Source organism: Homo sapiens, chromosome 5 (assembly GCF_000001405.40).
Source record: "Homo sapiens chromosome 5, GRCh38.p14 Primary Assembly".
Taxonomy (NCBI): domain Eukaryota; kingdom Metazoa; phylum Chordata; class Mammalia; order Primates; family Hominidae; genus Homo; species Homo sapiens.
Window position 1 is genome coordinate 133,195,319 of NC_000005.10, and position 11,194 is coordinate 133,206,512.

Consider the following 11,194-nt stretch of genomic DNA (forward strand, 5'->3'; position numbering starts at 1 on the left):
GGAGGGTGTGATTCTGGGCAGCAAGGGGCTGTGTCCCTATGGGTTCTGGCTGTACTTGGAGTGGAACCTGGGGTCCTGGGTGGGGGAGGCTGTCGAGGACTTCTGTGGCAGTGCTTCAATCTTATGTTACCTGCCTGGCCTCCTGGCTGGGGGTGGAGGGGAGTAGCATTCCGGGGGTGCTGGGTGCAGGGGCAAGCGTGAGGTAGATTGGTGGATGCATAGGAAGGAGCTGGGAGTGGTAGTGTCAACTCTCCTGGAGGCTTGCTTCTGAAAAGGAGGTTTGAAGAGTGGGAGAGAGAGTTGTGGGATTTGCTAGTGAAGACGGTTTGTTGTCTGTAATAATGGAATGAAACACATCATGATAAATGATCAACTATACTTTTTAAGCCCCTTGTAGAAAAATATATCCAGAGTGAATCTGTTTCACATCTCAGTTCTGAAATCTTCTTTAGTTCACAGGTTATTGGTCGACAGAAAACAAGATGTGGCCGTACAAAGCCAACTCCTGGCTGCTTTCCTAAATGAAGACTCAGTGGTTGCAATCTCTATGGCAGCAGGCCGTTCTCTCCTTTATTTGGGGTTGAAAGCCGGCTTCCAGTGCCTACCTGGAATGGGGAGCCTTGTCTGGACAGATGGAGATGGGGAGATGTCTGGGTTGGGGGTGGGAATTGTAGGGGTTGAGTTTCTGTCTCTGGTGATGCTATCTCTAGGTCAAAGTACCTGAAGTTTGGTATTAGTAGTTGGCTCCAGCCAGGATTTACAGGGCTCTTCTAGCTTCTTCCTGGAGCTTGGGGAAAAGTAGGACACTCGAATGACTTGGAGACTGAAGAAATAAGCCTGGGCCAGCCCCAGGCAGGGTGGGCTGGGTCAGTGTTGGTGAGGCTGGGATGATAGCTTTGGCCGTGGGTGCAATGCCCATCAACCCTCCTCATGCAGGCAGGTCGTGCCATCGTCCCGAAGCTGACAGTCCCCCTTCCTGCCATCCGTCTGGGGCTGCCTGGGTGGGCTTTTGGACCCGGAGCCTTTATGCAAGGTTCTGCCCACTGGAGCAGAAGAATGAGGGCCTCTATTTCAAAGCCTTCCTGTCACCACAGGTGCAGATTTTTTGTCATTTTGGGAAAAAAAAAACTATCGAATTTTTGTAAAATTAATTTTATTTCAAAATGACTGAGGGGGTTTATATAAATAGCTTTCTTGATGATTCTTTTGGTAAAGTCAGTACTTCTTTAATAGCTAAGATATCAGTTGTGAATTGACCTTGTGGGTTCATTAGGAGGATTACCGGCTGGGCTTGCTACAGGAGGCCCCCCTGTAGTGAGGCATTTCCTCCCAGTGGCTTTCCAACTGTGTCCCATGAACCTCTGCTGGGGTGAAGTATGGGAGAAAGGGCAGGCCAGTCTGGCCTTCCTCCTCTTCCTCCTTCTCCTCCCACCCCTGACTCCCCACCCAACCAACTCTATTGGTTTTCCTGCCAAAAGGCATTTACCTCCCTGCATTGGTGACTTTGCCTCCTGGGGCTGGACTCCTGAAACCCTGACCTAGGCTTCAGGCCTGCTTCGATTCAGTTGTGTCTGGCATGCTGTCAGTGAGACCTAAGCCTGCCGTCTCCAGGAAATGCACTCTGAGGACAGCAAAGGGCAGCTATGCTTTTTTAGACACATTCCAAGATGGAAGGGACAGTGGGGGAGAAGCAGGTGCTGCAGAAGTTGACTCTGTCACTCCTGATTATTTTAAAAGGCCAGTTTGGGTCAAACTGGTCTTTGACTTAGGAATCCTGCTGCCCAGAGGGGCTCGTGTTCTGGTCTGGTAGTTGGTGGGACTTTTCCTCCTTTAGGCTCAGAGATCCTTTTTCTGTCAGGGGCTGATACAATGGAAATTTTTCCAAAAAAAAGTTTATGAAAGTTGGAGAATTTTAGTGGTAAAAATGGGAGATTGGGAGTAAACATAACATATCAAGATATTGAGGCAGGAAAAAAAAAGGGGTGAGATGGGTCATCCATGCATCCCAGCTACTGTGAAACTGCATTCTAGGCTTTTGAGGTGAGCTTCCTCAACTTATATCTACATAGCATATCTTTTAAAATAAAAAACAGACGTACCTGTCTAGGCGCACCCCTAGGAGTTACAGGGGACAGGCGTTTGGTGGACCAAGTTGCGTGAGACATACAAGTGATTGATCTCATGAGATCTGGGGCGGGGGATGCAGGTGGCTTGGCAGTCAGGCAGGAGTGAAAGGAGCTGTGTGTGTTGAGAGTGACACAGAGTCTAGGGTTTCCTCTCCTTGAAAGAGTTCATTCCTTAATGGCAAAGGAAAATCCTGGTCATGTCAGTAGGTGAAGGTGGCCAAATTAGCAAAGACGTCTGTGGTGAGACCACCTCTCCCAACCCGTGTGGCTTGCAAAATGATCATTCAAACCAGGACACATGTAAGTTCCACTCATATGTGGGAGAGGGAAGGCGAGCCTGTTTTTGCTGAGTCTCTGATCTAGGCGGTCTCCAGAGGGCTATGTGGGTTGTACTTCTTCGATGCCCATGTGAGAGTCACCACAGCCTGAGACACATAAGGAGAATGCAGTAGTGCCAGCCTGTGGCCTTCTGTTCTGGGTTCTGCAGTGTGTGTGTATTGATTGGGGAATGTGGGTAAGAAAACCCTCGCCGAAATGTGTTCTCTCTGCAGTGCTGATGCGGGGATGGGGTACCAGAGAGGAGTGGATGGGCCACAGGTAGGAAAACAAAATCTGTTTTGAAAAGGTATAGCTTCAGGAACTCACCTGGCCCCACTCGTGTCCTTGGGGTTTCTGCATTGAGCCTGGAGGCCACCCATACCTTGCCAGGCAAGCCCAGTCTGCCCTGAATCTGGGGTACCAGACCTGACTAATGAGATGTCTCCCTTCTGTGCTGAAAGGAGGCACACAGAACTTGTTCTGGTTTTTTGGGGTCCCAACACAGAACCGAGTCCTTACGGATGAGGTGGCCTGGTCTGCTCTTGGAGAAGCAGGGTGGCAATAGTCGACAGGGCCAGTATTCTCAGATGACCATTGTTCTTTCTGGCTGTGGGATGTGGGGTTGTGACCACCCCCGAGACTCGGCCTAAGGCAGGGAAGGATATAGTTGGACCTCGGAGAGCATCTTTCTGCTTACTAGCATTTGAGATTATAAAATTTTTTTTTAATCAAAAATTTCCAAAATAAAGTGAGTGATTTCCCCATCCCCCAAGATGCAGTAAGTCTTGTTGGCTCTCCCTCAGGCTTACAGCAAGTCAAATGGAAAGAAAAGCAAGAAGCAGCTGCGAGGGAGAAGATGCGGTCCCACGCGAGGACGGATGGGCTTTCAGTTCGGGAGGGAGGCCCCTGCTCCTGGTCGGCCTCTGCTTCCGGGCCACTCCGTCAGGGCAAAGTCTGGCTGGGTCTGGCAGTAAGGGACAATGACTATGTGAAGGCAACTGACAGAGGTGTCTGCTTGGAGAGCAGGATCCCTTGGTTCCATGATGTCCCCAGGTCACTCGGTGTGCAGCTTGGCACAGAAATGATCCCTTTACACAGCAGCATATGTTCTCATCGTAGCTCAAGGCATAAATCATACTTCCTAACGAAAAAACCCCAATCTTGGTAGCAGCGCATACCTTATACTAGGAAACTTGCAAGGAGACCAGTGTTGAACCACAAAGCGAGTACAGGTTTTTGCTTTTGTCTGTAAAAATGTACAGCGTACCTGCTTGAGGCTGCAGTGTCAGGACTAGGGGGTGTTCCTTGGCCCAGGGCTCTGCTCTGGGCCCTTCATACCTCACCCACCCACACCACTGTGGTCCCCCCCTTTATACCTGACACCTCACACCGCAGCGTGTTTTGTCTCCCATTGATGAGGAACAGTGACTCTCGGGCTGGTGTGAGGAGGTACTGTCCAAACAGCCCACTGTCCCTCATGATTCTGTGGGTACCCCCCCAGGGCTGAGCTGGCCCTGCGGGTGGCTCCTTTAAGTTCTTCAGCATGCCCACCTTCCCCGTGGACAGCTCCAGGAACAGCAGGTCCGGCTCCGTGTGCAGAGCCGCGTAGATGTTGTATTGATTGCTTTCAGTGAAGGAGCGCTGGAAGGCCAAGTCTGAGATGCCCGAGTTTATTTGCAGGTCATACAGGGTCTGGATCTCGCCCCGCACTGTGATCTCCTGCACGTGCAGCCAGGGGCTGTCAGCTGCAGCACTGACTATGAAGCGCCCGTCGGGGGATGTGTGTGGGGTGCCTGTTACATCACCATTGGGGCCAAGCACAGAGTCTGTGACACTGTCAACGAGCAGCTGTCGGGCAGCAGAGGCGGGGCTGTCCTGTCGGCACTGGATGAAGAAGTAGCCGCCCAGGTGGGTGTGTGCCATGGCCTGGGGCACGCAGCCATGGTGGTGCAGGCCGATGGTCTTGAGGGGCATCATTGTTTCCAGGTCCACCTTGTGGACTGCAGGATCAGACTTGTTGAAGATGAAGCCAAACCTGGGAGGGGAAGAACTGAGGTCAGAAGTTGCCTCCAGGGGTGGGGAATCTGTCATTTGTCTTAAACAATTACATCCTCTGCCTTTTCCCTTTATTATAATCCTTCAGTGATCTAATAGCCTAGTAATAAGATCTATCATTCTGCAGGGGATGTCTTCATAAACAAATAATCTATGATCTCAATCCAAACGCAGTGGAGTTACAAATGTTCCTGGATTTATGCTCTTGTAACATGCACTCATCGTTGGAAATGATTATGGAGGAAGGCGAGAGGCGCTTCAACTGCTTCTCCATTTATAATACTTATGAACTGTTTCCCTGAGGCCCATGCCAGCTAGAAAGGGGAGAGTCTGTGTCTGGATGGTGAGCATGGAGGAAAAGGGCAAGAGATCCCTGCCCCGATTCTGCCTGTTACAAAGATAAGAAAAGAGTTCTATATCCTTGCTGTTTTCTAGACTAACTGGCAAGTTAGAATTTGAGGATGCAGATGCAGCTGAACAAGTGCAGATGTCCTGTTAGTACCCTCTTCCCCTGGAAGGGAAACATGTAGGGGCAGTCTCTTCTCTGACCACATTGGTGATGCGGGTAGGAAGAACCCTGGGCATTGGGGTTGAGGACAGCTTTTCCCTCCGGAGCCAGATGGCCTGGTGCCGGCACACTGCCCTGCTAGCTGCAGAGCCTGGGGCAGGCTGCTTGCCTCTCTGAGCCTCAGTGACTGTAACCAGGTTAGCTCCTTCCTAGGGCTATTGGGAGGATTTGATCTAAGAGGGAACTTTAGCAGAGGGACTCAGGTAGGTGGGAGTTGCTCAAATCTGGATTTTCTAAAATTCCTCTTTGGAGGCTGGTTGGAAGTATGGAAAAGCCTGACTCCAGGCAGGACTTCCCTTTGATCTTGAGAGCCTGTGCCTAAATCCCTTGCTCACAGAGGCCTTTTGGTGCTGTGTACACCTGCAGGAATAGAGCAGAATCTCTTCTGTAGTTTTCTCTAGAAAAACTGTACCCCAGAGTAGAGGAAAATACTCCCTCCAAGGCACATCTTTAAAGCATCCTTAAAGAACCAGAGCATGGAAATAGCAAGAAAGAAAACTCTGCTCTTATAAGAAACTTTAAGTTAAAAGCCACACACAGGAACTGCAGAACCTCTGAGTGTGCCCGACCCTCAGCTGAATACAGCTGCTTTATGAGGGCTTCATCATTTAATATACTCTTAGAGGCTCTTGCACAGGCTCTCTCTGCAGTGGGAGGGTTCATAAAGTGGCTTTCTTCCTTGGGTGAGGGTGAATGGGTGCATCTCCAGCAACAACTTGCAAAAACGAATCATTTCTTTCTGCAGAGAGGTGCTTGATGGCGGATTATAGAAAGGTATAAATAGTGCTACAAGACATTTGGGGTCTTGATGGCTTAGAGACAGGCTTGGTCGTCTGGCAGTGGTAAGTTTACAGAAGATATTGGGGGCTCTCTGAAGTGAATACGGATGGGGACTGACCATGCTGGGCCGAGGTCTGCAGTTGAGGCCATGGCTCTTATTATTGGGTGGTTGTTTTAGGTAGTGGCAAACCATGGCAATCAGGAAGCCTTGTCTCGTTGTGGGCTCCCCACACAGATGCTCTGGGGGTTCCTAAAGTATTATGGGCTGTGGTTAGATGGGAATGTGGAAGAATGGTGCACTGAAACAAGACTTGGCTTTACATTTAGTCTGACTTTGCCAGTTCCTAGCTGTGTGACATTGGTCAGTGTCTTCACTTCTCTGATCCTCATCTATAACATAGGGGTTAAGACCACTGGGACTAGATTTTTGTGTCTAGCAAGCAGAGGGTGCTCAATTTACTGCTACTGTTTCTTTCTTTCCTCTGCTGTCTTTACCTTAAGGATGGGACTTCCTGACCTTTCTGGGCCACTGAGGGCATTAGGAGCTGGGTGCCTTCAGTATAATAGAGTTATTGACCCCAAGCAATGAGGACTAGGCTCTGGGTCTGTTTTACTGGACCTTCTCTGTTCCTTCGTGATGGGGTCCAAATCCAGCATGGGAGTGGAGGAGACAGAGAAATGAGCAGGTCCCATGCTGGGCAATGCTGCCCCTTGCAGGGCTGAGCTGGAGCGGGGAGTGCCTTAGAGGCATCATGGGCCAGTCTCACCTGATGTGGTTGATGATGAGGTTTGTTGGGGGAATGAAGAAATCATCCACTCCTGCAAAGGGTGTGCGGATGAGGTGCTGGCTCTGGCCGGTGCTGGCTTCTGTGATCACCTACAACACAGAGTGGGAATCCTAGTGAGGGCCCATGCAGGTGGGGGCTGAACCTGGAGACACCTGTACGCTCAGGTGGAGTCACCCCGGCAGAGGGGTGCTTGGGAGAGAGATGACTAACAAACCTCAATCTCAGGGAAGAGGCAGGAGCAAAGTGGGAGCAGTTCAGGCACATCCTAGGCAGGGACCCATTCTTCCTGAAAGAGGAAGTGGTGGGACAGGACTGATTGCCCGAATTGCTTCTGCCCCATGGTTAAGCCTGCCTTGCTGCACTTTGTCAGCCACCATGATGGCAGAGTGAGAACCTGAGGGGTGGTGGTGGGGTTTCCAAGGGAAGTAAGTCTCCAGAATGGAAACATCACTGTGGTTGCTCAGAGACCACCTCCTCTCGTAATGGGGAATCCTACCTTCTCAACATGTAAGCCAGGCTAGGGAAAGTGGGAGAGGGCTGTCAATCATGAAAATGTCACGTGGTGGAACTGTCTACTGGGAGTTCATTTTTCTCTGGTGCCAGATGCCTGGGCCAGTTTGTTGGTAGTCTCTGTCGGATGCTGCTCACAGGCATTCTCTGAGGTGCGACTCCAGGACTGATGAGAGAAAGCAGACATCCTACGGGATGCCACTCTGACATGCTGGGCTGTTGAGATGTCTTGCATTTAGAATGCTGGGAAGAGGTCCTGGTCTCACACAGGAGACTTGCTGTAGAAAGTCAACAATTAGGCCCTGTGCCTTGTACAAATTGGTAGTGACAGAGCACGGCTGCCTCTGTTTCCCTGGAGGTAACGCTTTCTCCCCTGTGGACTTGGCAGGAGACAAGAGCCTTTCCCTGGTGTGTGTCCCAGCTGCACTCATGTCAGGGAAGGCACAATGGCAGCTCTGAGCAGAAGCCAGGTGGTGTGTGAAGTCAGATAGGATGAGTGAGTGGTCTGGAGTCCCTGCCATGAAACCCCTGTGGTCAGGCTGGGCAGCCCCTCTGTCAGCTAGTGAGGCCCAAGCCAGCCAGACTGTGTCCTCCTGCCTTCTGCATATGCTCATCAGCCTTGAAGTTCTAGGCCACTGCCCAGAAAGCAGCAGACCAGTGGTCCGATGAGGGGCTTAGCCAACTTACAGGCCCCGAGAAGCCCAGACCCTCTGTGCAGGAGAGGAGGCAGATGCTGGGCCCCTGAACGGGAATGTGAGACACTTTTTCTAATCATGATATTGTGGCCACATGTGTAGAAAGGAGGGTCTAGATTTCTGCAGCCTGAGGCTTGGCCTGCAGGGTGAGAGCTGACTCTGGTGGGGGCTTGTGACTCCCATGGCTGAGAGCTCTGGATGCTTCTACTTTTTAGGAATGGAGCTGCCTTCTGGCTTTTACTTTTATGACAAAACAAACAGCACCTGGCCTGCCTCCTCAGGCAGGCTGGAGGCTTGTGTCTTTTTTCGTCTTGCTTTCCTCTGCAGTCAGCAGGCAGAGTGCTGGGCTGGAGTGATGCAAGCCATGATTTTCAGGTTTGAGGCAGTCCTCATGTTGCATTAGGTTATTTCTCTGTGATTTTTTTTAAGAGGCCAAATGATTACTTCTATGGTAAGCTCATAGGAAAAAACTCATAGAAGTGGGTGTTAAGAAAATATCAGCGTTAGGAAACTGGATCTTAGAGAGTCTGAAAAGAAAATGCCAGGGAATTCCAAGAAGCCATGCAATCATTGCTTGGTATCAGGCCTGTCATTTTAGCTCATAGTAGAGATGGAAAATTACAGGCTGTCATTGGTCAATGTCATTCACGCTTCACTGCTCTGACACCCTAGATTCAGAGGTTACTTCATCAAAACGCAGTGCCATGGGCCATTGAACTGATGTGGGCATGTCAGCCTCGTTTCTCTGAGTCACGAGTTCCTCCTCGGCTTTTTCTTGTGTCCTGACACACAGCTGGGCCCACAGTGCCCTAAAGATAGATAACTGTCAAGCCCCTCACATTTGCTGCCGTATGGGCTTGGTACAGGAGATGCATGTATGTGTCTGAATCTCAGGATATGCCCATCAGTTGGCAGGGTGGGGACAGCAAGGCTGGGCATCTCCCTCAGAGGGGTGTATGAAGCCAGCTGGGAAGTGGCATGTGGAGGGGTGGGAGAGAACATGGTATCCAGAGGACAGGCTGGGAGGCAGCTAAAAGCTGGCCTGAGAAAGGGGGTGGGCCAGAGAGTGCTGGGCAGCATTGGAAAAGATGCCAAACCTTCCAAACCTGGGTGCTGAGGGCGGCTTTGGTGGAGGGAGCCTCATTTGTACAAACACGTTCATGTAGTCTTCCCAAAGTGTGTTCAACAAATCCTTCAGTGTTGGATATTTAGAAACAATATTAGGATATTATTTTTAATCTCTTGCAAATACAAACAATGCAGTAACAAACATTGTATTTGTGAGAGATTAAAAATAATGTCATAGCTCAATTTTTGTCCACATCCATGATTATGGCCTTTGGAAAAATTCTGAGAAGTCAAGTTGCTGGATCAAAAATTACTCTTTCACTGGCCAGGCATGGTGGCTCACACCTGTAATCCCAGTACTTTGGGAAGCTGAGGCGGGCAGATCACTTGAGGTCAGGAGTTTGAGACCAGCCTGGCCAACATGGTGAAACCCCATCTCTACAAAAAATACAAAAATTAGCTGGGTGTAATGGCATGTACCTGTAATCCCAGCTACTCAGGAGACTGAGGCACGAGAATTGTTTGTTTGAACCCGGGAAGAGGAGGTTGCAGTGAGCCAAGATTGTGCCACTGCACTCCAGCCTGGGTGCAGAGTGAGATTCTGTCTCAAAAAAAAAAAAAAAAAATCTTTCAGGCTTTTGGTTAACACTTCCCAATGGCTCACCACAAAGACTATGCCAGTTGAATTTCCAGGAGCAGTTTTTGTGAGCAATGGTTTCTTTAATCCTAGCCCACAGTGATGAAGGTAGGTTTATTCAAATGATTTCATACTTTTTTTTTGTGATAATGCATATCCTAGACTTTCCAGTTATGAGAAGGGAAGCATCATGCTGTAATTCCTGGTATTATGCTTTCAGTGTTTTGCCATTTAGGCAAAGGTAAACTATTGGTTATTGGTTTTGGAGAAGTAGTCTTTATTATATTTAAAGAATTTCCTTCTATTCCTATGTTTAGGCTTTTTATTAAGAATGCCTGCTGTATTTAATTAAATGTCTTTTCAGTATTTATTGAAAACGTCCTACATGTTTTCTCTTTCAATTTGTTGGTGTTATGAATAATATAGACTGATTTCCTGACAGTGAACCATCGTTGCATCCTGGGAATGTGTTCCCTGCTTGAGCATTTAGACACATTCCTGGATTCTATGTCTTTTTCTTTGCGTGTGTGTGTGTGTGTGTGTGTAGTGTTTGTTTATACACATGCGTCTCTCCTGTGAAACTCCCTTTTTAAAATAAATTATCCTTGCATAATATTCCTGGATTTGTATGTTAGACAAGGACATGGGTCCAAGTCATCTCTTGGATTCCAGTCATTCCTGTAACCAAAACCAATTCTTCACAATTTATTCCTTTAAAAAAATCATAAGCCATGTGGTTTCAATGCGCTTTAATTTGAATTCAATTAAAAAGAATTTAACAAGTCAGCTTTTCCCAAACAAAACTTTATATTCTATTTTCTTTAGGAGCTCAGTGAATCTAAACATTAAGTTTCAATATAAAATCTTTAGAAACACCGTAAAACTATGTAAACAGTGGTAGTTTGCATCTCTTTGTTTGTAATCAATCACTGAGCCCATGAAATTCAAAGCCAGACAAATCCTTGTACTACTAAGGGTCATAAGCCAGAATGTCTTAAAAAATATCCTCAAAGCTTTGGAATCCAGTAAGAATTAGGAAATGAGTCGGAGTCAGACACCCCGAGCACAAACTAGCGCAACCCCACAAAACATGTTTGAGTTTTCATCCTGGACTCTATTTTTAATAGTATGTTAGAATTAAAAACAGAATTCTGCCTCTGTATTTATAAGTGAGATTAGTCTACAGTTTTATTTTTTATACTATTTTAAATCAGGTTTTATAATCACAATAACACTGGCTATTTAAAACAAACTGTGCATTTTCACCCTATAGTCTTGGGATAGTTCAAGTAAAATTATCTATATTTTGAGGACTTGACAAAACTCAGCTGTACATTTTTCTATGGTAGATTTTTCTTTAAAAAATCCATGGTAATTGCTCTAGCTCAAGTTTCTCTTTTCATAAGTCAGTCAGTTAATTTTTTTAAAACATTTTGCAAGCATTCACTCATTTCCTCTAGGTTCTAAAATTTGTTGCCTCAGAGTTGCAATGTAGTGTTATTTATTTTTTGAGATAAAATCTCATTCTGTCACCCAGGCTGGAATGCAGTGACACGATCTCGGCTCACTGCAACCTCCACCTCCACCTCCTGGGTTCAAGCGATTCTCCTGCCTCAGCCTCCTGAGTCGCTGGGATTACAGATGTGCAC

At 47.9% G+C, this 11,194-nt stretch overlaps 1 protein-coding gene across 5 annotated transcripts in view, besides 2 other annotated features; it reads right to left on the reverse strand.

Moving 5' to 3' along the window:
* Positions 479-980: an enhancer, noted in NCBI's record as "H3K4me1 hESC enhancer chr5:132531489-132531990 (GRCh37/hg19 assembly coordinates)". NCBI's record gives its function as "activates a minimal SCP1, AML or CMV promoter by ChIP-STARR-seq in primed H9 embryonic stem cells {active_cell/tissue: H9 hESC(primed)}" and the evidence as "EXISTENCE:reporter gene assay evidence [ECO:0000049][PMID:30033119]".
* FSTL4 (follistatin like 4) overlaps positions 1,137-11,194 on the reverse strand; it is a 645,613-nt gene continuing 635,555 nt past the window's right edge. For all 5 annotated transcript variants that reach the window (XM_011543283.2, XM_011543284.3, NM_015082.2 and 2 more), the window contains 2 exons: positions 6,615-6,724; positions 1,137-4,479 (listed from right to left, as the gene is read on the reverse strand). In XM_011543283.2, coding sequence (XP_011541585.1) covers positions 3,777-4,479; positions 6,615-6,724 — 813 coding nt within the window. In that variant the 3' untranslated portion in view covers positions 1,137-3,776. The remainder of the gene's footprint in view (positions 4,480-6,614; positions 6,725-11,194) is intronic.
* Positions 4,183-4,682: an enhancer, noted in NCBI's record as "H3K4me1 hESC enhancer chr5:132535193-132535692 (GRCh37/hg19 assembly coordinates)". NCBI's record gives its function as "activates a minimal SCP1, AML or CMV promoter by ChIP-STARR-seq in primed H9 embryonic stem cells {active_cell/tissue: H9 hESC(primed)}" and the evidence as "EXISTENCE:reporter gene assay evidence [ECO:0000049][PMID:30033119]".